Source organism: Homo sapiens, chromosome 12 (genome assembly GCF_000001405.40).
Source record: "Homo sapiens chromosome 12, GRCh38.p14 Primary Assembly".
Classification (NCBI taxonomy): Eukaryota; Metazoa; Chordata; class Mammalia; order Primates; family Hominidae; genus Homo; species Homo sapiens.
The window spans coordinates 103,950,194-103,976,735 of NC_000012.12; the positions used below are offsets into that span (position 1 = coordinate 103,950,194).

At 42.1% G+C, this 26,542-nt stretch overlaps 2 protein-coding genes across 7 annotated transcripts in view, besides 8 other annotated features; one reads left to right on the forward strand and one right to left on the reverse strand.

Moving 5' to 3' along the window:
- Positions 1 to 15,514, reverse strand: UQCC6 (ubiquinol-cytochrome c reductase complex assembly factor 6). 4 transcript variants are annotated; one of them, XM_011538718.4, is made up of 5 exons: positions 6,876 to 7,022; positions 5,513 to 6,555; positions 4,682 to 4,775; positions 3,221 to 3,341; positions 1 to 1,437 (listed from the first exon to the last, which is right to left on the reverse strand). In XM_011538718.4, the coding sequence occupies exons 2-5, from the start codon at positions 5,616 to 5,618 to the stop codon at positions 1,330 to 1,332; spliced, it is 429 nt and encodes a 142-aa protein (XP_011537020.1). In that variant the 5' UTR covers positions 5,619 to 6,555; positions 6,876 to 7,022; the 3' UTR covers positions 1 to 1,329. The 4 variants fall into 4 exon arrangements, with proteins under 4 accessions (XP_011537020.1, XP_016875406.1, XP_016875405.1 ...); XM_017019917.3 differs by lacking the exons at positions 3,221 to 3,341; positions 4,682 to 4,775; positions 6,876 to 7,022 and adding an exon at positions 15,323 to 15,514 and having other exon boundaries at positions 6,438 to 6,555; XM_017019916.3 differs by lacking the exons at positions 3,221 to 3,341; positions 4,682 to 4,775 and having other exon boundaries at positions 6,438 to 6,555; positions 6,947 to 7,022.
- Positions 6,338 to 6,851: an enhancer, noted in NCBI's record as "NANOG-H3K27ac-H3K4me1 hESC enhancer chr12:104350309-104350822 (GRCh37/hg19 assembly coordinates)". NCBI's record gives its function as "activates a minimal SCP1, AML or CMV promoter by ChIP-STARR-seq in naive H9 embryonic stem cells {active_cell/tissue: H9 hESC(naive)}" and the evidence as "EXISTENCE:reporter gene assay evidence [ECO:0000049][PMID:30033119]".
- Positions 6,338 to 6,890: a biological region, named in NCBI's record as "NANOG-H3K27ac-H3K4me1 hESC enhancer GRCh37_chr12:104350309-104350822".
- Positions 6,761 to 6,890: a silencer, noted in NCBI's record as "silent region_4783". NCBI's record gives its function as "represses an Ori minimal core promoter by ATAC-STARR-seq in GM12878 lymphoblastoid cells {active_cell/tissue: GM12878}" and the evidence as "EXISTENCE:reporter gene assay evidence [ECO:0000049][PMID:35858748]".
- Positions 7,031 to 7,170: an enhancer, noted in NCBI's record as "active region_6903". NCBI's record gives its function as "activates an Ori minimal core promoter by ATAC-STARR-seq in GM12878 lymphoblastoid cells {active_cell/tissue: GM12878}" and the evidence as "EXISTENCE:reporter gene assay evidence [ECO:0000049][PMID:35858748]".
- Positions 15,470 to 15,799: an enhancer, noted in NCBI's record as "active region_6904". NCBI's record gives its function as "activates an Ori minimal core promoter by ATAC-STARR-seq in GM12878 lymphoblastoid cells {active_cell/tissue: GM12878}" and the evidence as "EXISTENCE:reporter gene assay evidence [ECO:0000049][PMID:35858748]".
- Positions 15,679 to 26,542, forward strand: part of TDG (thymine DNA glycosylase) — a 23,003-nt gene continuing 12,139 nt past the window's right edge. For 2 of the 3 annotated variants that reach the window (NM_003211.6, NM_001363612.2), the window contains exon 1: positions 15,679 to 15,867. In NM_003211.6, the coding sequence (NP_003202.3) occupies positions 15,845 to 15,867 (23 nt within the window). In that variant the 5' untranslated portion in view covers positions 15,679 to 15,844. Of the gene's footprint in view, positions 15,868 to 22,166; positions 22,841 to 26,542 lie in introns of those variants that run through there. The other variant, XM_047429486.1, reaches the window with a different exon arrangement.
- Positions 16,150 to 16,219: an enhancer, noted in NCBI's record as "active region_6905". NCBI's record gives its function as "activates an Ori minimal core promoter by ATAC-STARR-seq in GM12878 lymphoblastoid cells {active_cell/tissue: GM12878}" and the evidence as "EXISTENCE:reporter gene assay evidence [ECO:0000049][PMID:35858748]".
- Positions 25,231 to 25,400: an enhancer, noted in NCBI's record as "experimental_23620 CRE fragment used in MPRA reporter constructs". NCBI's record gives its function as "activates a minimal promoter by MPRAs in K562 erythroleukemia cells, with activity observed for both the introgressed and non-introgressed 12:104369287 or rs4135082 variant alleles {active_cell/tissue: K562}" and the evidence as "EXISTENCE:reporter gene assay evidence [ECO:0000049][PMID:34662402]".
- Position 25,316: a transcriptional cis regulatory region, noted in NCBI's record as "Neanderthal adaptively introgressed variant 12:104369287 (GRCh37/hg19 assembly coordinates) or rs4135082 in the experimental_23620 CRE". NCBI's record gives its function as "modulates activity of the experimental_23620 enhancer by MPRAs in K562 erythroleukemia cells {active_cell/tissue: K562}" and the evidence as "EXISTENCE:reporter gene assay evidence [ECO:0000049][PMID:34662402]".

The window sequence follows — 26,542 nt, forward strand, 5'->3', positions numbered from 1 at the left end:
TTAGGGGATAATATAGTACTGCCTTTAATTTTTAATGCATATATGTTACAGATTTGGTTCTCCAAGAAACACTGAGGTGCAGTTTAGCAGGGGGTCTATGAAGGCACACCCTTCGATCAACACCTGAGAAAGGAAACAGGACTGAGCAGAGGTATAAGTTGAGTTGCAATGCAGATCCAAAGACAGTGTCCCTAAACCCCATAGGGAGTTGTGGTGGGCCCAGCAGAGTTGCCCACCACTCACGTGCTGAAGTGGCCAGGCCTTTCTATTCTCACCTCCAACAGTCACTGGATTTGGGCCCCTTCAGGAGGCATGGCTTTGAGCAAGGCCACCATAGCCGAGGCAATCCTTCTAGAAGCTGACCATTGAAAGCTGCTGGCATGCTTGATACTAGGGCAACAAGCCTGCCTTAGGGAGTATGGATGGCGCATTTCCATGACCACTACAATGTATATTTTTCACAATGGGGATCAACTTCAAAACAGGAAGAAAATGTATCTTATTGGAAGTCACTTAGAACCAGTACTTAATGAAATAAAGATGGCATTTTTACCCAAGGTAAATTTTTACTTTAATAACCATAAAACTGATTTTTCACCTTCATGAAGTCATTGTCTTACAGAAGACTCGGATTCAAATCATGACTCTTTCCCTCAGTAGCCAGACCACTTACTCTGTACCTGTAAAAGGAGGTATGCGGTGCTTCTAAAGCATGCACTGCATCCATTCATTCACGTGGTCCACTGGGTGACGACGGTCTGTCCTCCCCTTAAGCAAAAACTGGCTCTAAGGGACAGGTCTTTTCTTCACGCAAAAGGTGAGCAATGCCCCCAGCCTTTCATTCTAGAAAGTGATGAGGCGATGATTTTGTATCCACAAAATGCATTATCAAAGCTCACCACTTTAGTGTTCATTTACTAAAGTTAGCAGAGATCTAGAATTTGAAAAAAAACAGTTTAGCAATGAGAAATAACTCCACTTAGCAAATTCAATTAATGAAACTAGTTCATAGTTTTAAATAATTTCTTAATTTATATGAAATAAAGACAACCCATATAGTAGACTTACAAATATTCTATTTCGCGTTATATTCAAGACTAAACATCTTCCAAACCATATTCATGAAATGGTTTGATGATATGTGCTTTGGCAGTTTTCAAGAAATATCAATCAAACCGTAATTAAATTTCAACGTATCGGCTAAACATCCACTGAGCACCTCCTCTTGCAGTTAGCATTAGACTAAGTGCTTAAGGACAAGTAGTTTGATGCAATAAATTAAGAAATACATATTTAAGACTTATATTATTCACAGAATTCTTGGCATAGTTATTTAAGTTCCTCCTGTTGAGAAACTTGAGGTTTGTGTTTTCTTTCTTTCAGTCCCAAAAGCTCCGTTTTGAGTTCTCCACGCTTTGGTGGAATTTCAGGTATTGTCTGCAAAAAAAACAAAACAAAAAACATAAATGTCTAACCCTTAATAAGGCTGTAATTCAATGTAACCTAGAAGACTTTAAAGAGTAAAAAATAACAAAAAGTTCCCTTGCTTGCTACTCAATGATAACTCTTTATTATGAGAAGCTCTGGTTGATCTAAGTCCCTTTCTAACCCTGTGTTTATATGAGTCTATCATCCTGGCAAGGTCTTCAGCATTACGTACTGCAGGACTCACAAAGGATAGCTGGCATCAGAATCAATTGACAGGTTCACAGCTTTGAATAAAACTTTCCACATCTGGAAATTCATTCCTGCACCATCTACTGACTCTCTACCATGTGCCTGGCATAGAAAATAGGCGTTAGGAATTAATTTATTAATTCAAAAATATTAAGTGCCTATTATATGCAAAGCAGAAAGCAGTATGCAAAAAAATACAAAATCCCTGCATTCCAGGAAGGTATTCACAGAGTTCTGCATCTATCACCACAATAAATTTTAGAAAATTTTCATCACCCCAAAAAGAAACCCCATACTTATTAGCAGTCACTTTCATTTCCATACAACCCTCCCCCACATAGCCATAGATAACTATTAGTCTTCTTTTTGTCTATATAGATTTGCCTATTCTGGATATTTTCTATAAATGGAATCATATAATATGTGGTCCTCTGTGTTCTTTCAGGTAGAATAATGTTTTCAAGGTTCATCCATGTTGTAGCTTGTATCAGTATTTCATTTTTTATTACTGAATAATGCTCCATTGTATGGATATACAATTTATCCATTCATCAGCTAATAGGCATTTGGATTTTCCACCTTTTGGATATTATGAATAATACTGCTCTGAACATTCATATACAAGTTTTTGTGTGAATATGTGTTTTCATGTCTATTGGGCATAAACCTAAAAGTGGCATTGCTGGGTCATATGGAAACTGTTTAACTGCTTGAGGAACTACCAGGCTTTTCTGAAGCCACTGCACTATTTTATATTCCCATCAACAATGCGTGAGGCTTTCAATTTCTCCACATCCTTGACAATACTTGTTACTCTCTGTTTTACTACAGCCATTGTAGTGGGTATGAAGTGGTATTTCACTGTGGTTTTGATTTGCCTTTCTCTGGTGGCTAATGATGCTGAGCATCTTTCTGTGTGCTTACTGGTGTTCAGAAGATGACTGCTGAACAAAGACATGGAGGAGGATGAGGGAGGCAGCCATGCAGTTACCTAGGAGCATTTCAGGCAGATGGAACCACAAGTGCAGAGGACCTAAGGCAGGAGTGTGGCTTCAGGTTCAAGAAGAAGCAAGGTTGTCAGTATAGCTGGTACAAAGTATTCACAGAGAGGTTAAGAGGAGACAAGGGCAGAGGAAAAAGGGAGTGGGGAGATAAAGTCTCCAGTGTTTTTCACTCTGAAATGGGAAGACACTGGAGAGTTCTGAGAAGAGTGGCATGTCCTCACTCAAGTGTACAGAGATGATAATGGTAGCTTTGCTGAGAATAGACCACAGGAGAGCAAGAGTCGAAGGCAGAAGACAGGTCAGGAAGCTATTACAATAACAGGTGAAAGTGACTGACAGTGGATTGAACTGGGTAGTAGCAAAAGAGGTGGTGAGAAGCAGGCAGCATCTGGATGTACCTTTCAAGTTAATCCAATGGGATCTGCTCATATGTACAGTATGAGAGAGGAATTAAGGATGACTCCTAGCTTTCAACCTGAACTACAACAGAGTCATCTCCTTTGCTATTCAGATGAGCTGAGCTGGACAACTAAAAGCACCTGTAGCAGTTCTCCCCAACACAGCACTGAGCACAAGTCTAGGCAGTCATCATGGTCTCCTCTGCTCGACTCTGCCCAGACCTTCCAGTTCTCCGACCGAAAGACTTGTGATCCAGTTTTGCTACAAAGAACAAAGTGGTTGACAACAGTGACAGTAATTGCTGGAGCAAAACCAAAAGACATAGGTAAAGAACATATAAATGTTAATAAAGCACACTGCTTTCAACACACAGCCAGCCACCTGGGCCTTCAAGTTCCTACAGAGATACCCCATTGCCAATGTCACCACCCAATCAAACTGAGGTGAGTTTAGACCCTTCAATATGGCCCTTCTAAAGGCTGTGGCTTCATTCTATCTCCTCCCAAGGTACAGGTAGCTGCTGTAACAACCCTTGCACATTCCCAATTATAATGAAATGGGTGAATCAAAGGTCAACTTCCCAGGGTCAAATCCCAGGCATTCCTTCTTTTGCAAGGCCTGCCTGATGTCTATTCCTGCACAAGCTATAGACTAAACTGCATTACTGTGGAAGGTTCTTGTCACTTTGTCTCCACTAGGTATTCTTGCTGCTCAATAGAACCCTTTTTAAAAGAGAAGCACTCTGAAGTTGTAAGAAAGAGCTCTTGCAGCATTGTTTGTACAAAAACTACATACTACCTAAATGTCAATAAGGGATTGATCAAATAATATGTCACAGCTATATTATGAAATACTATGCAATAGTTAAAAAGATTTAATATACACAAATGTCTATTTATGTAGATGTTAACCAAAACAAGGAAGTTGCAGAGAAATGTGTACGTGAACTCCTATTCACATGAAGGAAAAACACTCCACAAACTGTGTGTGTACACATGCATGCACAGGTGTATTTGTCCATTTTGCATTGCCTGAGGCTGGGTAATTTATAAAGAAGTTTATTTGGCTCTTGGTTCTGCAGGCTGTACAAGCATGGCACCAACATCAGTCCAGCTTCCGGTGAGGCCTCAGAAAGCTTTTAACTCATGGCAGAAGGCAAAGTGGGAGCATGTGTAACACAAGGCAAGAGAGGGAGTGAGAGAGAGAGCCAGGTTCTTTTAAACAACCAGCTCTCATGAACTAATAAAGTGAGAACTCACTCTTCACCACAGGGAGGGCACCAAGCCATTCATGAGGGATTCGTCCCCATGACCCAAACACCTCCCGCCAGGTCCTACTTCCAACATTGGGGATCACATTTCGGCGTGAAATTTGGAGGAGACAAATATCCAACCCGTATCAGTGGACATTCAACAACAGTGAGAAGTAGTAAAGGATATTCACCAAACAAGAAACAGTAGTTAACGTGTCGTGAGCAGACAGGAGAAAGGAGGTTATAAGAGGGGGGATTTTCACTTTTTACTCTACATACTTGAACTCAATTTGAATGTTTTACAAGAGTATTGGATTATTTTATGAACAGGAGCAAAAAAGAGACATACCAAACAGAAAGCTTGGGCTTCAGATCCTCAAATCGTCTCACTAAGCTATGTGACTTTGAGAAATCAACTTCACTCTTCTCAACCTGTTTCTCATCTGAAAACAGAAATAACACCTTCAAAATTGTAGTGACAATTAACTGATGTTAAAAATACAAATGGGCCAGGCACAGTGGCTCATGCCTGTAACCCCAGCACTTTGGGAGGCAGAGGCGGGCGGATCACTTGAGGCCAGGAGTTCAAGACCAGCCTGGCCAACACAGTGAAACACCATATCTACTAAAAAATAGAAAAACTTAGCCACGCATGGTGGTGTATGCCTGTAATCCCAGCTACTCAGGAGGCTGAAGCATGAGATTTGCTTGAACCCGGAAGGCAGAGGTTGCAGTGAGCTCAGATTGTGCCACTGCACTCCAGCCTGGGTGACAGAGTGAGACTGTGTCTCAAAAAATAAAAATAAAACATAAGTGCAAATACAAATGGAGCCAGGCACAGTGGCTCACACCTGTAATCCCAACACTTTCAGAGGCCAAGGTGGGAGGACTACTTGAAGCCAGGAGTTGGAGACCAGCCTGAGCAACATTTTGAGACCTTGTCTCTACAAAAAATTTAAAAATTAGCTGGGTGTGATGGTACACAGTCATCTCAGCTACTTAGGAGGCTGAGGCAGGAGGACTGATTGAACCCAGAAATGTGAGGCTGCGGTGAGCTGATTGCACCACTGCACTCCAACCTGGGCAACAGAATGAGACCTGTCTAATTTTTTTAAAATTATTTTTCAATAAAAATTTCTAAAAAAAGAAACACTAATGGTTGACTCTCTGAAAGTGTTACCTGTCCAGGCAGAGTCCAAACAGAAATGACTGCTCCCAACATTGTGCTCCAAACCACTATTCACACCTATAGCATAACAGCACATTCTTGTAATTATTTGTGCCATACTTTCTCATCTCCACCTCCCCAAGACTCTAATTCCTGAAAAGAACCTTTAATTCTAGTTCCTAATGAATGCTTATTAAAATTAATTTAAATTTCTCCTTCCTTTGAATGCCTATAGTCACTCATCCTTCATTCAACAAATACTTATTGAGTGTCTGCTACATTCCAAGCAGTTGAGATACAAGACTGAACCAGACAGACATAGTCTGGAGCTTACATTCTACTGAAGCAAACTGACAAAGAACAAATAAATAGACAAAGAACTGCAGACAAGTGCTCTATGGAAACAAAAGATGAGACGGAATCGCAGAGGAGGAATTCTTTGGGAGCTAACCCAAGGACCCTCATTGCTGGAGGAGAGACTTGTGCTAAGACTTGAAGTTTTGAAGAAGGAAACCAAGCCAAGTTGTTGGGGGGGTGGTGGGGGGAGGAGGACATGCCAAGGATAATGAAAAGAATGGCCTCGAAATGGGGACAGGTTTGATGAGTTGGAGAAACAGCAAGGAAGCAGGCGTGAATGTTAACAGGGGAAAGAACTGGTAAAATGGTGGCAGATAGGCCACAGGTAGGCAGCGGCCAGACTGTGTAAGACCTCACAGGCCATGCATTGCCCTAGATGCAATGGGATGCCATCCAAAGGTTTTGGGCCCAGGGCAAATGTGATCCTAATTTCGTTCAAGATCACTTTTGCTGCCACGAGGAGAATGGAGTGGTCCAGGAGCATCTGCATTGCTATAAAGGAATGCCTAAGGCTGGGTAATTTACAAAGAAATGAGGTATATTTAGCTCAAAAATAAAATAGTAGCCCTCCCGCACTCACCAGGTCCGGTCGGTAGTACCTGTGCACCACTTCTGCCCCTGCGCACATGGCCAGGAGACTGGCTGCGAACATTTTCAGGTAGGTGGACATGGGCACGCCCGCGGGCATGGTCGGCAGGCTGGACGGGGAAGGAAGGGGCAGTGTCAGAAGTTCCAGCTCACGACTACACCGCGCCAGGGCTGAGGCGCTCCAGCCAGCGCTGGACACGAGACACACGGCGGCGGGGGTGCAGGAGGACCCCTGGGTTCTCGCCCAACCCCACGCCTCGGTTTCCTCCTTTACGAGCTGAGGGCACTGAGAGGACGAACGCCCTCCAGGCCGAGGCCCAGCCCCAATCGTTTATCAGTGAGGGGCGCCGGCCTGCGTGCGGCATTAAAGGGAGCTCTTGATCAGCAAGCGGAAAACCGATACCAGGTCGTTTCCCCGCGCCCCTTCTACCTCTTGGAGGAGAGGAACTGTGGACTTCACTCCTCTCTGCCTCTATACACGCGCTCTACTAGAGACTGTACCGCGAACTGCAGGGATGCTGGGCAACAGGTCTAAGGGCGGACGGAGCGGACGGCGAGCAGGCCGGACCCAAAATACAGGGACCCGGGGCCGCACCGGACAGGAAAGTGGGAGCGCTGCCGGCGCAGGCACGTGACGCAGAGGAGGTGGGGCGCTGGGAGAAAGCCAGTGACTTTTTTTTTTTTTAAACCAATTCCGACACTTTCTCAGCCCCAGGCTCCCAGCACCTCCATCACTCTCCCTATAGTTAAATTTTCCTGGCAGATGTGGAATCTAAGGCCAGGCCGTGGACTATTATTACATCGTTTGTTCTTTCGTGCACACAAAGGAAACCACGCCTTTACCACTTTTTTAGGAGGGGTGGAGTCACACATTGAGCATTTGCGTGCTTTTATGGGAGGTCACCCTCCTGTGACCTCTTAAGAGTGAAGTTAAAGGCACTCACTGTCCCTGTGTCTGGCGTCTTTTGATACCCGAAATAGAGCCACATCCAGACAGCTGTGGCCTTATGACCTGGTGCTACTGGGAAAGGGGAAATTTGAAATCGACATAACTTAATCCAGGAATTTTTCCATTGTTTTGATTATTGGTTGTTTTTTAAGTAAAAGGTTAGTGCAAGGGCCGGGGGCGGTGGCTTACGCCTGTAATCCCAGCCAGCACTTTGGGAGGCCAAGGCGGGCGGATCACTTGAGGCCTGAAATTTGAGACCAGCCTGGCCAACATGGCAAGATGGCAAGACTCCATCTCTACTAAAAATATATATATATAATATATATTTTTAAATATATATTTTATACATATTTTATATTATATATTTTTAATATATATTATATATTTTTAATATATATTTATATATTTATAATATATATTTATTTTTAATATATATTTATATATTTTTAAATATATATGTATATATATACACACAAAATTTAGCCGGGCGTGGTGGCAGATGACTATAATCCCAGCTACTCGGGAGGCTGAGGCAGGGGAATCGCTTGAACCCAGGAGATGGAGGTTGCAGTGAGCTGAGATCGCGCCATTGCACTCCAGCCTGGGCAACAGAGCAAGACTCCGTCTCAAAAAAAAAAAAAAGTTAGTGCAAGGCTAAATTCTGAAGGATTAAAGTTGTATGTATGACAAATCATAATACTCATATTTGTAAAGAGTCTTATGGAGGTATATTTGACATACAATAAACTGCACATATTTAAAGTATACAATATGATGTTTGACATATGTGAGACCATTACCACAATCAAGATAATGAACATACCCAAGACCCTCAAAAGTTTCTTAGTGCTTCTTTCTACTCCCTCCCTCCTCCATGGCCTCATTTCCCTAGGTAATCACAGATCTGCTTTCTGTCACTATAAGTTAGTTTGCATTTTCTGGAATGTTACATAAATAGAATTATACCGTATGTACTATTTTTTGTGTTGCTTATTTCATGCAGCTCAGTTATTTTGAGATTCATCCACATTGTTGCATGTCTTAGTAGTTCACTCCTTATTGCTAGGTGGGTTTAGACTACAATTGGTTTATCTATTCACTTATTGATGAACATTTTGGTTGTTTCTAGTTGTTGGTGTGTAAATAAATAAAATTTTAAAAATGTTGGAACCTAAAAAAAACACTGTAAGCCTTGAGAGAGATGTGACTAATCTGAGTCACATACGGTTACAACTTCTGTTCTCAGATTATATATTAACTCACTTTTTCTTGTTCTATACAATCACTAGAGAAAATTAAATGCCAGTGACAAAAACCTCCTTTCTTAATGACCCTTGATTAATTTGCCCTTTATTGTCCTGCTTTGCTGAGACCAGATAACAGAAAACCCATGAGTATTACACCCTCTGTAAAAAGTGTTAAATGCACCTTCCCAAAAAGAAACACTGCGTATAACCAACCAAATTGCTGTAACTTTGTGCCAATCTTGTATGAAAAGTGTTGCAATCCTGCTAAAAACTCCTGTCTCTGCCATACAAATGAAATCTTAACTTTCTTACTTCAGAACGCTGACTCCATTCCTTTGGAGCTGGTGTTTCCAGGTGGTCCATTCTTACTCTTTGTGCTTGAATAAACCCTCTTTAAGTTAGATTCTGACCCTTTTGGTTATTTTAGGTTGACATCGGTTGATAGATATAAAGCTACTATGACCAGTAAAATATATGAGAAAGACTGGTATAGAAGTCTTTCTGAGAACATGGGCTTCCATTTTTATTAGGTACATCTCTAGAGGAATTACTAGAGCATATGGAAGGTGTATATTTAACTTTTTAAGAAATTGCCAGGCCGGGTGCAGTGGCTCATGCCTAAAATCCTAGCATTTTGGGAGGCCGAGGCAGGCGGATTGTCTGAGCTCAGGAGTTTGAGACCAGCCTGGGCAACACAGTAAAACCCCATCTCTACTAAAATACAAAAATTGGCCAGGTGTGGTGGTGTGCGCCTGTAGTCCCAGCTACTCGGGAGGCTGAGGCAGGAGAATTGCTTGAATCCAGGAGGTGGAGGTTGCAGTGAGCTGAGATCGTGCCACTGTACTCCAGCCTGGGTGACAAAGCAAGAGTCCGTCTCAAAAAATAATAATAATAATTAACTTTTTTAAAAAAGAAATTGCCAAACGAATTTCCAAAGCAGCTATACAAATTTATTATTTATTTTTACTTTTTTTTTTTTTTTTTTTTTGAGATGGAGTCTTGCTCTGTCACCAGGCTGGAGTGCAGAGGCACAATCTTGGCTCACTGCACCCTCCGCCTCCCAAGTAGCTGAGATTACAGGCACACGCCACCATGCCCAGCTAATTTTTTTTGTATTTTTAGTAGAGATGGGGTTTCACCATGTTGTCCAGGCTGGTCACAAATTCCTGACCACAGGTGATCCGCCTGCCTCGGCCTCCCAAAGTGCTGGGATTATAGGCATGAGTCACCATGCCTGGCTATTTATTTATTTATTCTTTCATTCATTCATTCTGAAACAGTCTCGCTCTGTCGCCCAGGATGGAGTGTAGTGGCGTGACCTTGACTCCTGAGTTCAAGCAATTCTTCTGCCTCAGCCTCCCGAGTAGCTTGAATTACAGGCAGGCGCCACCACGCCTGGCTAATTTGTATATTTTTTTAGTAGAGACGGGGTTTCACCACGTTGGCCAGGGTGGTCTCAGAACTCCTGACCTCATGTGATCCATCCACCTAAGCTTCCCAAAGTGCTGAGATTACAGGCATGAGCCACCGCACCCGGCCAATCTGTACCATTTTACATTCCCATCAGCAGTGTATGAGACATATGAGACATCCCCAACCAGTTCCTTCAAATCCTCTCCAACATTTGCTCTGGTCAGGCTTTTTTATTTTAGCTATTCTAATATGTGGGTAATGGTTCCTCATTTTGGTTTTAATATACATCTCCCTCATGACTAATGATTCAGATATTTTTATATGTGGAAAAAAACACAAAAACATAAAAATCCTTGGACACATACCCCACACCATATTAAAAATTTTAAATGGGTCACAGACATTCATGTGCTGATACAGTCATATGCTGCATAACAACATTTCAGTCAATGGACCACATACACGACAGGTGGCCCCATAAGATTACAACGAACCTGAAAAAATCCTATAGCCTAATGACATCATAACTGTCAAACACCATGTGTCCGTGGTGATGCTGGTGTAAACACACCATGCTGCCAGTCATCTAAAAGTATACCACATACAATTATGTACACTACATAATACTTGATAATAAAATGTTACTAATATATCTATTTACTATACTTTTATGGTTCTTACAGTATACTCCTTTTATTCTTTTTTAAAAAAAAAAGGAAAGTTAACTGTAAAACAGCCTCGGCCGGATCCTTCACAAGGTACTCCAGAAAGCATTGTTATCATAGGAGATGACGACTCCCTGTGGGTTATTGCCCTTGAAGACCTTCCAGGATGTGGAGGTGGAAGACAGTGATACTGACGATCTTGACCCTGTGTAGGCCTAGGCTAATGTGTGTGTTTGTGTCTTAAGTTTTTCACAAAATTTTTAAAAGTAAAAAAAAAAAATTAAAAACAGAAAAAAGGCTTATAGAATAAGGATATAAGAAATTGTTTATAGCTGTACAATGTGTGTTTTAAGCTAAGTGTTATTACAAAAAGGTCAAAAGTTTAAAAAATTAAAAAGTCTATAAAGTTACAGAAAGCTAAGGTTAATATATTATTGAACAAAGAAAATTACTTTTTAATAAACTTAGTGTAGCCTAGGTGTACAGTGTTTATAAAGTCTACAGTAGCGTACAGCAATGTCCTAGACCTTCGCACTCACTGACTCACCCAGAGCAACAAGGAGTTCTGCAAACTCCATTCATGGTAAGTGCCTGCTACATTTTTTATCTTTAATACTGTTTGGTTTTGTTGTTGTTGTTGTTGTTGTTGTTGTTGTTGTTTTGAGACAGAGTCTCGCTCTGTTGCCCAGGCTAGAGTGCAGTGGCTCAATCTCGGCTCATTGCAACCTCTGCTTGCCAGGTTCAAGCGATTTTCCTGCCTCAGCCTCCCGAGTAGCTGGGACTACAGGTGCCCGCCACTACGCCCAGCTAAGTTTTCTTTGTATTTTAGTAAAGATAGGGTTTCACCATGTTGCCCAGGGTGTTCTTGAACTCCTGAGCTCAGGTGATCCACATGCCTCGGCCTCCCAAAGTGCTGGGATTACAGGCGTGAGCCACCGTGCTGGGCCTAATACTGTATTTTTACTGTACCTTTCCTATGTTTAGATACATACTTACCATTGTGTTACAATTGCCTACAGTATTCACTATAGTAACATGCTGAACAGGTTTGTAGCCTAGGAACCACAGGCCATACAATATAGCCTAGGTATACAGTAGGCTGTACCATCTAGATTTGTGGAAGTACACTCTGTAACATTGTCACAATGAAAAAATCACCTAGTGACATTTCTCAGAATATGACAAATGACCATATTTTCTTGTGCTTCTATTTTCTTTGGTGATGTATCTGTTCAAATCTTTTGCTCATTTATAAAACTGAGTTGTTTTCTTATGGGTTTTGAGTGTTCTTTTATATGTTCTGGACACAAGTCCTTTATCAGATATGATCTGCAAATATTTTCTCCCAGTTTATTGCTTTTCATTAATTTTTTAAGAGAAGTTTTTAATTTTAATAAAGTATAATTTATCAATTTTTCCTTTTGTATTATATTTAAAAAATATAACCCAGGGTCATAAATATTGTCTTCTATATTTTCTTCTAGAAATTTTACAGCTTTGGGTTTTACATTTAAGTCCATGATCCATTTTGTTTTTTTATATGGTGTGAGGCAGGAGGTGCGACTTGACTCCCAAGGTGGAGCTTGGACACAGGACCAGATTGAGGACCAGCTAAAACAGGGAAGAGGTGGAAGCTCTTCTCCATAAAACACACCAACTAATGTGCCCTGTCAGTTTAGCTTTGCCATGGCAACACCCAGATGCTACCACTCCTTTCCATGGTAATGACCCACTGACCCAAAAGTTACCTCCCTTTTTCTAGAAATTTCTGCACACTCAGCCCCTTGATTTGCATATAATTAGAAGTGGGTATAAATATGACTGCAGAACTGCGTCTGAGCTGCTACTCTGAGCACACTGCCTATGGGGCAGCCTTGCTCTGCAGGAGCAGTCTTGGAGTTGTAACACTGCTGCCTGAATAAAACTGTTTTCAGCTCACTCTTGATTTATTTCCTGGGTGAAGCCAAGAACACTCCTGGGCTAAGGGCTTGCCTGCCCTGTGTCATGCATACAACTTTGTTTTGTTTTTGCATATAGATATCTGAACTACCTTTGAAGCTTAGTTGAAAATCAGTTCATCACTTGTCCATGTATGTGTCTATTTCTGGACTCTATTCTGTTGCACTGATATATATTTCTCTCTCTTGATGCTAATACTACACTTTTTTTTTTTTTTTTTGAGACAGGGAATCATTCTGTTGCCCAGGCTAGAATGCAGTGGCATGATCTCAGCTCACTGCAACCTCCACCTCCTGGGTTCAAGCGATTCTCCCATCCCAGCCTCCTGAGTAGCTGGGACTACAGGCATGTGCCACCACATCTGGCTAATTTTTGTAGTTTTTTAGCAGAGACGGGGTTTCACCATGCTGGCCAGGCCGTTCTCGAACTTCTGGCCTTGGGTGATCTGCCCGCCTCGGCCTCCCAAAGTGCTGGGGTTACAGGCATGAGCCACTGCGCCCGGCTAACACTGTCTTGATTACTGTAGCCTTATAATAATTCTTAAGTCAGGCAGTATTAGCTCTCCCAGCTTTGGCTATTCTAGATCTTTGCATTTCCATATAAATTTTAGAATCATTTTGTCAATTTCTACCCAAAAACGCTTACCTGGATTTTGGTTAGCATTATATTGAATCTTTAAACATCTTCACAATATTTGGTCTTCTGATCCATGAATACAACATATCCGTGTACTTATTTAGTTCTTACCCAATTTCTACCAGCAATGCTTTTCACTTTTTATGATAGAAATCTTGCGTCTTTTGTCAGCTCTATCCTTAAATATTTCATATTTTTGATGCTATTGTGAATGGTATTTTTTCTAATTGTTTGTTGTTAGTACATAAATTACAATTGATCTTCCTATATTGATATTTTATCTTGCAACCTTGCGAATCTCACCTATTAGCTGTACTAGGTTTTTTGTAGGTTCCACAGGATTTTCTACATAAACCAGCACCAGAGCAATGAACAAAGACAAATTGTTTTTTTTTTTATAGATGTCATTTATCAATCTTCAGGAAGTTTACAAGGAAGTTCCCAGTTCTGTTTCCAGATTGCTAAAAGCTCTGGTGGGCCAGGTTCACAAGCAGAAAAAGTTTGTCTTCCAGACTCAGATGCAGGATGTTGAGAGAGAGACACTGATGGGATAAAAGCCAGTTTGCTGCAACTGCTTCACCATTTTTAGGTTCAGTGTCCTCACCGACAACTCCTCCCATAAGCTTTTTTTTTTTTTTTTTTTTTTTTTTTTTTTTTTTTTTTGAGACGGAGTCTCACTCTGTAGCCCAGGCTGGAGGGCAGTGGTTCGATCTCAGCTCACTGCAACCTCTGCCTCCCTGGTTCAAGCGATTCTCCCACCTCAGCCTCCCGAGTAGCTGGGACTACAGGTGACAGAGATGGGGTTTCGACATGTTGGCCAGGTGGGTCTCCAACTCCTGACCTCAGGTGATCCACCCGCCTCGGCCTCCCAAAGTGCTGGGATTACAGGCATGAGCCACCACGCCCGGCCTCCTCACGTTAACTTTCTTTTGCCATGCAAGATTGGGCAGAGGACCCTGGTCTCTTGAGGTTATGAATGGAGCTGGCAGGACCCAGCACAGCAACCCACAGTGAGAGAAGCCCTTGCTGCCAAGGGTAATTCCCCGAGTGCAGACATCCTGAGAAAAGTTTACTCTCTTCACACACATTTTCAGTCACCAGAATTCTCTCCCAAAGCATTCAGCAGTCTTTGGTTAATGTGTCTTTCTGGATGCCCTGAAATAACTGAGGCAAGCCACCTGCTGTAAGACTTTTCTAGACGATGGTCCTGAGCCATTGGCAAAATCAGAGAGGATGGGCTTTTTTCATTCACTCAACATATATTCATTGAATATTTACCATGTGCCAGGTTCTGAGTAGTGTCTACTAATGGACAGGGTATTCATAAAAGTTCTGTACTGTTTTAAACGTTTCACTCAAACTTTAAACAGTTGATATATTACAAAAATCTTTCTGTATTTACTCACGAAAGCCTGGATCCTAGAATGAAGAAAATACATGGAGCACAGAGCCACAGCCATCTCCCAGCTCACAGATCACGTGAGTGAGAAATAAACTTCTGTGGCTGTAAACCACTGAAGGTTTGGAGTTACCTGTTACTATATGAATAAACTCAGGAAAGCCAACAAATACAGCAGCCATGTTTTTCATCATCCTGCAAACTAGAAAAACCCAAAAGCCTATTCCATTAAGAGTTCCTTAATAAAGTACAAACACCAGTGACAGAAATTGAGAACTAATGAAACAAAAGCCAGCTGCAAGAACCACTGAGACATAAAAGAGGGGTTAGTCTGTAAGATTACGAACCACTGAGATTTAAAAGAGGGGTTAGTCTGTAAGGTTATGGGAGGTGATGCTCGAATGGGATCTAGTCTCGTAGACGTCAAACGTTAATATTCTCATATATCCAAAGTAATGCGGAGAGTGGTTTATGTAGAGCTTTACATTTTACATAGCAGCTTTACATTCACCCTCATTTCACAGATAAGGAAACTGAGGCCCAAGATGGCACAGTGGCCTCGACGCCCAGGTTTTCCACTTTCAAAGACCCTCCCTCACATCTCATTACCTGATAATGCAACACAGTCTTTAATCGGGGCGAATTTCGGGGTGGAAAGGACTAGATAATGCTGATAAGCGTCATCATCCCATATACACAGCACCCCAAGGACAGCACCCTATCGCCCACGCGTCCACCAGCCCCCGAAAATACTGGAGACAAAAGCTGACGTCGGCAGAGCGCTCCTAGTCCCCGTCTTCTGGTCCTCCACCCTTCCCGAAAGGCCAAGCGGCGGAGCTGGGGCGCCAACGAGAAGGGGGTGAGCGTGATTGGGCTGTCCTACATCACGTGACGGCCAGTACGCGTGGGATTTGGCTCCGAGGAGGCGGAAGTGCAGCACAGAAAGGGGGTCCGTGGGGGACGGTAGAAGCCTGGAGGAGGAGCTTGAGTCCAGCCACTGTCTGGGTACTGCCAGCCATCGGGCCCAGGTCTCTGGGGTTGTCTTACCGCAGTGAGTACCACGCGGTACTACAGAGACCGGCTGCCCGTGTGCCCGGCAGGTGGAGCCGCCCGCATCAGCGGCCTCGGGGAATGGAAGCGGAGAACGCGGGCAGGTAATACCGGGGCCAGCGCCGCCCCTCCCTTGCGCCCCTCACTGCTGGGCAGGCTGGCTGGCGCGCGCGCGCGCACGCAGGGGTCTTTTAAATCCCGGCCGGAATACAAAGGCCGGGGCCGCGCGTGCGCACTGTGGCCTGGTCGGCCTTTCCTTCCCTGGCTGCGGCGGTGGTGGTGGAGGTCGGGGCTGCTCTGAGGGTTACCTGGTGCACCTGGACCCTTCTTTGGTTCCCCGCGATAACCAGTTGACTATAAAATATATTAGTAAGCATTCAGCAGTCTTTGGTTAATGTGTCTTTCTGGATGCCATTCTTGGCTAGAAGGGTTTTCCGTCACCCTCCATTACCACGCAGAGAGCTGTAAAGATGAGTGTCGAACATTTCCAGCTCCAGGAGTTTTCATTTTAAAGTTGGTTGATTTGTTGCGGCTTCCCCCCACCCCAAAGGCCTACTGAAAGCAACTTTAAGGGTCACGGGTTAGATAATTTTGTTGTGGGCATATGTATACACTCTCGAGTAGTCAATCTAAAAATGACCTTTGAGTTTTCCAGTGGCCTTGGGGACGATCTTAAGAATCCGTTTTTAAAAAGTCCTTTGGGGGAGTCAAGAGAAAAATTTGCAAAAGCAGGAGATTTAGGGACTTGAACTCCTGGCGGAAGACTAAATTTTTAAAAAATGGATATGGTGACAGTTTTTTAAAAGATAAAGAGTGATGATTTACATTGAAATTAAAAGGAAAAAAACCTATGCCTAATGAAGAATTATCCTGACTCTCAGTGGCTAATGGGAGCTGAATTTAGGCAATACAAGGGACTTATATGGGCCTGTTCATGTCTGTAAAGTTGGCATGTCTGGAATCTGATTCTGACATGCCGAGAATTGGTGTTACATGAAAGGGCACACTAACCAAAATAAATTAGAGCTTAGGAAAAGAGATATATGTAGACAAAGTGTGGACTTTATCTTGACTTTGTGGATCAAGTCCTGGAATAAATTACTCCACTTCTTTCCCAGAAGAACTTTACAAATAAGAGAATTCACCAGAATTTGTGGAAATCTCTCTCTCATAACCTCACTTAAGAGCAGAATTGAAACTTGGGCCAAGAATAAATTACACATTGTAAGACTTTATTCAGGGTCTTACAGCAAAATAGTAGGACTTCAATACACTGTTTAGCTCAAAGCTGTGATATGTCGGCCTGACTTCATCCAAAAGGCTATAGACCAGATTTTATTTTGCCTTGAAAAGCTTTCACCTTCAGGAACTGTGGAAAATTCTGTGTAATCTTCTGAAATGACTCAGACCCCAGGTAATCCTTAAGAGAGTAGTTCTCTGTCACCCTTGACTGTGCTAATCAAGAAATGTAATGTGGGATGTGAAAAAAAATAAATTTACTTTTTTTTTTTTTTTTTTTGAGACAGAGCCTTGCTCTGTTGCCCAGGCTGGAGTGCAGTGGCGGATCTTGGCTCACTGCAACCTCCATCACCCGGGTTCAAGCGATTCTCCCGCTGCAGCCTCCCAAGTAGCTGGGATTACAGGCACCTGCCACCAGGCCTGGCTAATTTTTGTATTTTTAGTAGAGACAGGGTTTCACCATGTTGGCCAGGCTGGTCTTGAACTCTTGCCCTCAAGTGATCCACCTGCCTCGGCCTCCCAAAGTGCTAGGATTACAAATGTGAGCCACCGGGCCCAGCCGACTTTTTTAGAAGACTAATTTCAGATATTCAAAGAAGAAAATTCAAATTCCATGAATACAGACTTTTTTTTTTGTTTTTTTTTTTTTTTGAGACAGAGTTTCACTCTGTTGCCCAAGATGGAGTACAGTGGTGCGATCACCGTTCACTGCAACCTCTGCTTCCCGAGTTTAAGCGATTCTCATGCCTCAGCCTCCCAAGCATCTGGGACTACAGGTACCCAACACCACGCCCAGCTAATTTTTTGTATATTTAGCAGAGACGAGGTTTCACCATTTTGGCCAGGCGGGTCTTGAACTCCTGGCTTCAAGTGATCACTTTGGCCTCCCAAAGTGCTGGGATTACAAGCATGAGCCAAAGCGCCCAGCCTAGACTTTATTTCAATGGCAAAATAGTTCAGGAGTCTTAGAAAGTGCTTACAGTCAATCAACCAGAGAGGAATAAAGGAGGAATTTTCTAAGGGTACTGGGGAGTTTCCCGTGACCTCAGGCGTGAAAAAGACATTTACCGAAGATGGAAAATAGGATGCCAAATCAAAAGTAACTGGAAGAGAGTAGCATGGACCACTAAGAATACCAACAGGAAAGATTAACCCTTGCATGAGAGTAGACTTTATAGAAATGTTAAGGAGACCAGGAAGGACTGTTTTGGTTAGATGTTGACAACAAGAAGAATAAAAAAGATTTGGGTTTTCTCCCCAGTCTACTGGCATGGTGGCAGCAGACAACAGAACACCTAAGTACTTTGTTCTGATTTGGATTTTACATCTCCTATGTTAGCAAAATGATTGTCTGACTGGAAATGGCAGAATGAATATCTGTAAGACTTAAAGCTCAAGACCAGTGAAGGCATTTAGGAGAAGTTTCAGGTGTTCTAACAGAATCATATGCCTTGGCCTGCGTGTGTTGTGTTTCAAGGGAGAGGCCAGATTAAAGCAGTGTTAGAGGATTTGTAGCAAATGTAAGGGACCTGGAAATAAACACGTGGGTTCCTGTTCTTCCAGAGGTGGAGTCTGTCCTCTGTTGACATTGATCCTGAACAAAATTTTTACTTAATCAATGGTTACTGAGCATTTTTAAAAGAAACTAATTGACCGGGCACAGTGGCTGACGCCTGTAATCCCAGCACTTTGGGAGGCCAAGGCAAGTGGATCACCTGAAGTCAGGAGTTCAAGACCAGCCTGGCCAATATGGTGAAACCCCGTCTCTACTAAAAATACAAAATTAGCTGGGCATGGTGGCATAACTAGTGACCACTACACTACAGTATCAGTTCAGAAAGAAAGCAAGACCTATACTAGACAGGCAGCATCAGAAGGATGCTGGCAGGAGGTACCTACAGTAGTCATTATTATAGCAAATTTATTATATACCAGGTACTGTTTTGGATGTTTTACATAGGCCAACTAGCTTAATGCTCCTAACCAATTATTAGGTACTATTCCCATTTTACAGATGTGGAAGCATGGGCATAAAGAGATTAAGGAACTTGCCCACAGAGCTAGTAAATGGGAGAGCTGAAATTTGAATCCAGATGACCTAGCTTCAAAGTCTGCTTCTCTAGCTAGCAAATGTGCTTTACTGCCTCTCTTAGTGAGCAAGATGGAGATGGACTGATGGCAATCCAGTTAGGTGAAATAAAAACCTGACTTACTACTGAAAGAATCAGGCAGACTGAAGAGAGGTCTGTACTTATATGCCATGTATCTCTATCCCTAACTTTGTTCCTTTCAGTACCTTAACGTCAGGGTGCTGATGGCATGGTGATAAAATTTGTGAGTGACCCAAGCCTGGGAGGAATTTGTGGAATTAACTGATTGATTTAATCAGAGTCCAGATAAATCCTGACTGACTGGAATGGTGAATCATCTTTTACAAAGAAGAGGCACAATCCTATACTCAGCTGCAGAAAAATCAGTGATAAAGTGTGGAATGAGGGAGAAGTGATACAAGGACAGTGTTCGTTGATGGGAAACTCAGTGTGAATCAACAGTATAATGTGGGTGCCAGTATAGCTAGTGTCATGGGTTCTGCAGTTTGTCTCCAAAATGAGCAAGTTGGTAGCCCTGCTCATTTTCGGGCTGATGAGGCTTTATCTGGAGTTTTGTTTGATTCCGAGCACCAAAAAATGAAGAAATTTGAAATCATACTACATGAGGAATTATACTATTTGAGGAATACTGTATGAGGACTGGCTTATTCTAAATCTTTATATTTACAGTTTCTAGTAGACTGTACATATGGTGAATACACAGACCTCCATCTAGCAATACCAAATGGAATAATAGTTATGGTGCTATCGCATCATAATTTACATAACCAGACCCCTTTAGTTGAGCATTTGGATTATTTAGCCTTGTTCATTATTTTGTAAGTATTCAGTATGGTATATGCTTTTTTTAAGTGAAGATAATAAAATGTATTTAGAAAATAGCAACTTAGGCTGGGTGCAGTGGCTCACACCTGTAATCCCAGCACTTTGGGAGGCCAAGGTGGGAGGATCACTTGAGACCAGAAGTTCAAGACTAGCCTGGGCAACATAGTGAAGCCCCATCTCTACAAAAAATTTAAAATTTAGCCAGGCATAGATGCATGTACCTGTAGTCCCAGCTGCTCAGGAGACTGAGGTGAGAGGATTGTCTGAGCCCAGGTGTGTGTGGTTACTGTGAGCTATGATAGCACCACTGCACTCCAGCCTGGGTGGCAGCCAGACCCTGTCTCTTAAAAAAGAAAAAAGCAACTTAAATCCCTAAAATAGTGTAAAATAATTGAAGATAAAAGAAGTTGGAGTCATTAATTTTAGAGAAAACCTTAAAAATTTAGTTTTTTGAAATACAGCAAATCTAGCTAGGCATGGTGGTGTGTGCCTGTAGTCCTAGCTACTCAGGAGGCTGAGGCAGGAGGATCACTTGAGCCCAGGAGTTGGAGGCTGCAGCCAACTATGATCATGCCACTGCACTCCAGCATGGGTGACAGAGTGAGACCCCATCTCTTAAAAAAAAAATAATTAAAAAAATAAAAAAATAGCAAATCTGAATTAACTGGACTTCTTAATGAACTCTATGCGTGGAGTGTGTGTATGTGTGTTTTGAGAAAGACTATCAGAAAATATAGTCGACCTTCCATATCTATGGATTCTGCATCTAAGAATTCAACCAACTGTGGATTGAAATTATTTGGGAAAAAAAAAGACAAATAACAACATTAAAAAATGATACAGATAAAAAGAATGCAGGATGACAGCTACTTACATAGCATTTACATTGTATTAGGTATTATAAATAATGTAAAGATTATCTAAAGTATATGGGAGGATCTGCATAGGTTATATACAAATACTATGCCATTTTATATCAAGCGACTTGAGCATCCTTAGATATTGGTGTCTGTGAGGGGTTCTACAACCAGTCCCCCATGTATGCAAAACTAGGTACATACCACAGTCCATTTTTAGAAAGATTGATTAGTAACTAAAGGATGACTGTACACAATTCATCAGTTCCAGGCAGCTATAAGAAAACAATCTAGCCGGACACAGTGGCTCACACCTGTAATCCCAGCACTTTGGGGAAGCTAAGGCGGGCAGATCGTGAGGTCAGGAGTTTGACACCAGCCTGACCAACATGGTGAAACCCTGTCTCTACTAAAAATACAAAAATTAGCCCGGTGTAGGTGCCTGTAATCCCAGCTACTCAGGAGGCTGAGGCAGGAGAATCACTTGAACCCAGGAGGCAGAGGTTGCAGTGAGCCGAGATCATGCCATTGCACTCCAGCCTGGGTGACAGAGCGAGACTCTGTCTCAAAAACCAAACAAACAAAAAACAACAGAAAAACAATCTATGAGCGCTGCAGTTCAACAGAAGGTAAGTGCAAATGGAGGCTAGCAGAGAAAAAGGGGTAAACAGGAAAATGAGGGAGAGTGAGAGGTAGTGAAGAATATTTGAGACTAAGATAAATGATGGGGGAAGAAAAGTGAACGAAGAGAAATAAAATCAATCGTGCTTGTAAGTTTAACATCAGGAAGTTATACAAAGTAGAAAGTCTTTGGGGTCTGTTTTGAGTCTAGACAGATCTAGTCCTATTTCCTATACATTGTCCACATATGTAGAAATCACTGAATCTAATTCCTCATTTTCATGGTGAGGGAATGGATACCCCGAGAGGATAAATGACTAAATGCTCTTTGTTACTGTCCTTCTCATAGAGTTATTGCTCAGAAACATTGCAGAGTTCTGGATTATAAAGTAGCAACGATCATTATGCATACACAAATGTATTTAAGAAATATCCTCACACTGAGGTTGAAACAGGTTTATGCTGCTTATACATTTAGTTGTTATTATAATAGAAGATAAAATTATCCAGAACCCCCCTTTTTTTTTTAGACAGAGTCTTGCTCTGTCGCCCAGGCTGGAGTACAGTGGTACGATCTTGGCTTACTGCAGCCTCCGCCTCCCTAGTTCAAGCAATTCTCCTGCCTCAGCCTTCCCTGTATTTAGGATTACAGGCGCATGCCACGACGCCTGACTAAGTTTTGTATTTTTAGTAGAGATGGGGTTTCACCATGTTGGCCAGGCCGGTCTCGAACTCCTAACCTCGTGATCCAACCCCCTCGGCCTCCCAAAGTGCTGGGATTACAGGCGTGAGCCACTGTTTCCGGCCAGTTATCCAGAACTGTTTAGTTAACTAGCATTCAAGTTTATGAAGATTTTTGTGTAGATGTAATGCTTGCTTCTGCCAAGGAATAAGAATGTTGTAATCCACCATCTTTTATTCTGGCTTTTAGGCAGCTGTTGAGGTAAACAAACTAAGTTTAATGCTCGAAGATAGTGTATTCCTCAGAACTAACACATTTGATTTTCCATAGGTTTATTTTCCTTTACCTGTTCTAATTTAACTTTTTGTAAAATGCCACAGTCCATTTTTAGAAAGATTAAGGGATATTTCATTATTATAGATAAGTTTCTAGGTTTCTTTCAAACTTGATATACCTAATATAAAAGTTCAGATTATTTTTCCTCTTTATTTTTCACTTTTTATTCAGCCAACTGTGATTTCTAGAATTTTGATTTTCAGCTTCTGAACCCCAGAATTTCTGAAGATGATTAATGACCTCCGACTATACTAAAAGTTTTGAAAAATTTTTTTAAAGTAAAGAATCCTGTTGTAATGTGAACGGTGTCTCCCTAATTTATGTATTTTCAGTTTGCATTTTCATGAAGTGCTCAAAATGGGACATGTGAAATTCTGAGAGTAGTAGTAAGAAACATGGGAGAGTGGTAGGTAGATTGCCTTCCTGACCATGTGACAGAGTAAAAACACGTTTCATACATTTTTTTTTTTTTTTGAGACGGAGTTTCGCTCTTGTTGTCCAGGCTGGAGTGCAATGGCATCATCTCGGCTCACCACAACCTCCACCTCCTGGGTTCAAGCGATTCTCCTACCTCAGCATCCTGAACTAGCTGGGATTACAGGCATGCGCCACCACACCCAGCTAATTTTGTGTTTTTAGTAGAGACAGGGTTTCTGCATGTTGGTCGGGCTGGTCTTGAACTCCTGACCTCAGGTGATCCGCCCGCCTTGACCTCCCAAAGCGCCGAGATTACAGGCGTGAGCCACTGCACCCAGCCACATCTCATGCATTCTTTTGCTCGCTCATTTATTGTCACCATATGCCTTTGTTTCTATATATTCAAGCTAAATCAAGGTGCTATTAGAATCTCGGGAAGCTGCCGCTGACCACAGTCAGAACTTGCAGTTTCTTTAGTTAGAATTGCCATAGGACCACTGCTCAAGACTTCCAGATCTAACCTAGCCATATCCAACTCATCATTAGAATATTTAAATCATGAATGTTGAACAACCAATATTTTAACAATTTATTGCATAGAGCTACTAATAATATTAAATAAAACTATGGAAAAAAAGGACATTTTACTTTGTGCCAGGTATGCTTCTAAGCATAGTTCTACATCTTAACTTCTAGTCCCTGTCTACATATTTTCCCTTATGTGTAGCCTTAGTTATACTATTTTGTATTCTTTTCTGTTTTAAAATATATATAAACTCTTTCCTGTTCTTTTACATAAGATAAATAAACTTAATTTTTTAGCTGCATAGTATTTTCTCATGTTAATGTATTGTAGTTTACTAAGTCATAACTTTATTTTTATTTAATTTGTGAACAATAAAAGAAATAAAACTCTTATGATACAGGTTAATCTCTTTCTCACTCATTCTTAATCTTTGCTTTACCAACCTACCCTTAAAGATAGCTGGAAGTGGAAATGCCTCTCCAGTGGTTTGTCCATTGGGATTGGGCTTCTGTTTATCTTGAGCTGCCAACATTTAGCCCAGCCGCTGGGGGTGGTCTGTTATCCTTTGTTTCCCCAGGCCATTTAAGCTTATCCAGGAAATGCTTTAGTTTGCCTTTTTTTTTTCCTGTTAACCATTTTATTGAGATATGATTTACATACTACATAGTTCATCCATTTAAAGTGTACTCATTTGCCCTCTTTTGTTGTTGTTGTTGTTGTTATTGAGGCAGAGTCTCGTTCTGTCCCCCAGGCTGGGGTGCAGCAGTGTGATCATCGCTCACTGTAACCTTGAACTCCTAGACTCAGGCAATCCTCCTGCCTCACCCTCCTGAGCAGCTGGGGCTGTCAGCATGTACCACCATGCCCAGCTAATGTTTTAAAATTTTTTTGTGGAGGTGGCGATCTTGCTATATTGCCCCGGCCACTCTTGAATTCCTGGCCTCAAGTGATCCTCCCGCCTTGCCCTCCCAAAGCACTAGGATTACAGACATAAGCCACCGTGCCTGGCCTCATTTCCCTTTTTAATCTGCTTTCTGAGCTTCCTGTTCTCTTTCAATGAATATCATAGAGAATGAAAACTGATTAGTATAGTATCTTGCAGTAGAAAACATGACTTTCGCTGGGCGCGGTGGCTCATGCCTATAATCCCAGCACTTTGGGAGGCTGAGGCGGGTGGATCGCGAGGTCAGGAGATTGAGACCATCCTGGCTAACACGGTGAAACCCTGTCTCTACTAAAAATATAAAAAAAAATTAGCTGGGTGTGGTGGTGGGGGCGCCTGTAGTCCCAGCTACTCGGGAGGCTGAGGCAGGAGAATGGCGTGAACCCGGGAGGCGGAGCTTGCAGTGAGCCAAGATCGCGCCACCACACTCCAGCCTGGGCGACAGGGCGAGACTCCGTCTCAAAAAAAAAAAAAAAAAAAGAAAAAGAAAAAGAAAACATGACTTTCCTCTCCAAATAGTAAAGCAAACTTTTCCATTTTATTTTCTACTGTTTTTCTTCTCCTGCCTATTTAATGGCATTATTTGGCATTTGCTGTAACTTGAGTTTCATCAAATATGTGTTTACTTCTCTGGTTTTATGCTAACAGCAACACCATGAGATAGTGGTTTAAGGCCATGAGAAGTATTTTTTTTAATTGTTTTCTTTGAAAGCCCACATTGTTTCCTTTGAACAGAATACTTTGAACAAAATTTAAATCGTGTTCAGAAGAGAGGTTTAGAGGTTTTTTCCTTCATAAATTCAACACATGTTTACAAAATATCCATTTCATGTTTCTCTTTAGTGACTGAATCTATTTTGTGTTGCTGTTTCAGAATGCCATAGACTGGGCAATTAATAAACAGTAGAGGTTTTTTTGGCTCCTACTTCTGGAGCCTGGGAAGTCCAAGATGGAGGGGCTACATCTGATGAGGGGCTTCTTGCTGCGTCATAAAATGGCAGAAGGAATCACACAGTGAGGCAGCACTTGTGACAGAGAGATAGGAAAGGGAGTTGAACTCATCCACTCATCGTGTTATCAGGAACCCTCTCCTGTGATAATAGCATTAACCCACTCCTGAAGGCAGAGCCCTCCTCTTGACCTAATCACCATTTTTTTTTTCTTTTGAGACAGAATCTTGCTCTGTCACCCAGGCTGGAGTGCAGTGGTACAATCTCAGCTCACTTAAACCTCCACCTTCCAGGCTCAAACAGTTCTCCTGCCTCAGCCTCCCAAGTATCTGGGACTTCAGGTGCATGCCACTGTGCCCGGCTAATTTTTATATTTTTAGTAGAGGCGGGGTTTTGCCATGTTGGTCAGGCTGGTTATAAACTCCTGACCTCAGGTGATCTACCCTCCTCGGCCTCCCAAAGTGCTGGGTTTACAGGTGTGAGCCACTGTGCCCGGCCTTGTCACCTCATAAAGGTCCTACCTCTCAACACTTGCATTGGGGATTTAGTTTTCAACACGTGAACTTTGGGGGACACATTCAAACCATAGCAGTGGCAAAAAAAAAAAGCCCTAGCCCCAACAAAACAAAAATACCACCATCAATAAAAATCAAATATAGGCCTGGGTGCAGTGGCTCACATCTGTAATCCTAGCACTTGGGGAAACTGAGATGGGCAGATCTCTTGAGCTCAGAAGTTCAAGACCAGCCTGGCCAACATGGCAAAACCCTGTCTAGACAAAAATTACAAAAATTAGCCAGGCATTGGGGCTCGCTCCTGTAGTCCCAGCTACTTGGGAGGCTGAGGTGGGAGGATCACTTGAGATCTCCCACCTCAGAAGTAACAGTGAACCAAGATCACACTACTGCACTCCAACCTGGGTGACAGAGGGAGACCCTGTCTCCCCACACACACACACACACACACACACACAAACTAATGAAAAAATAAGTAAACAGGCAAATAAAAATAAACTAAAAGAGAATCTTAATTAGATTGGAGGGGATCTTCAGGTGATTAAATACTGAAGGAAAGTAGGGGCACAAATTGTATTTGGGGACATCTTAACCCTGTATGGGTTGATAGACCTTTCAAGTCTGTCTACTAGAAAACTCCCTCAAATCTTATTTCAGAGAAAGTATGGGCTGACTTGACAGGACTGATCAGTTTTATCAGTGACACATCTTATCATTTAAACAGTGCAAGAGTTAATGGTTGGTTATTAAGCACTCA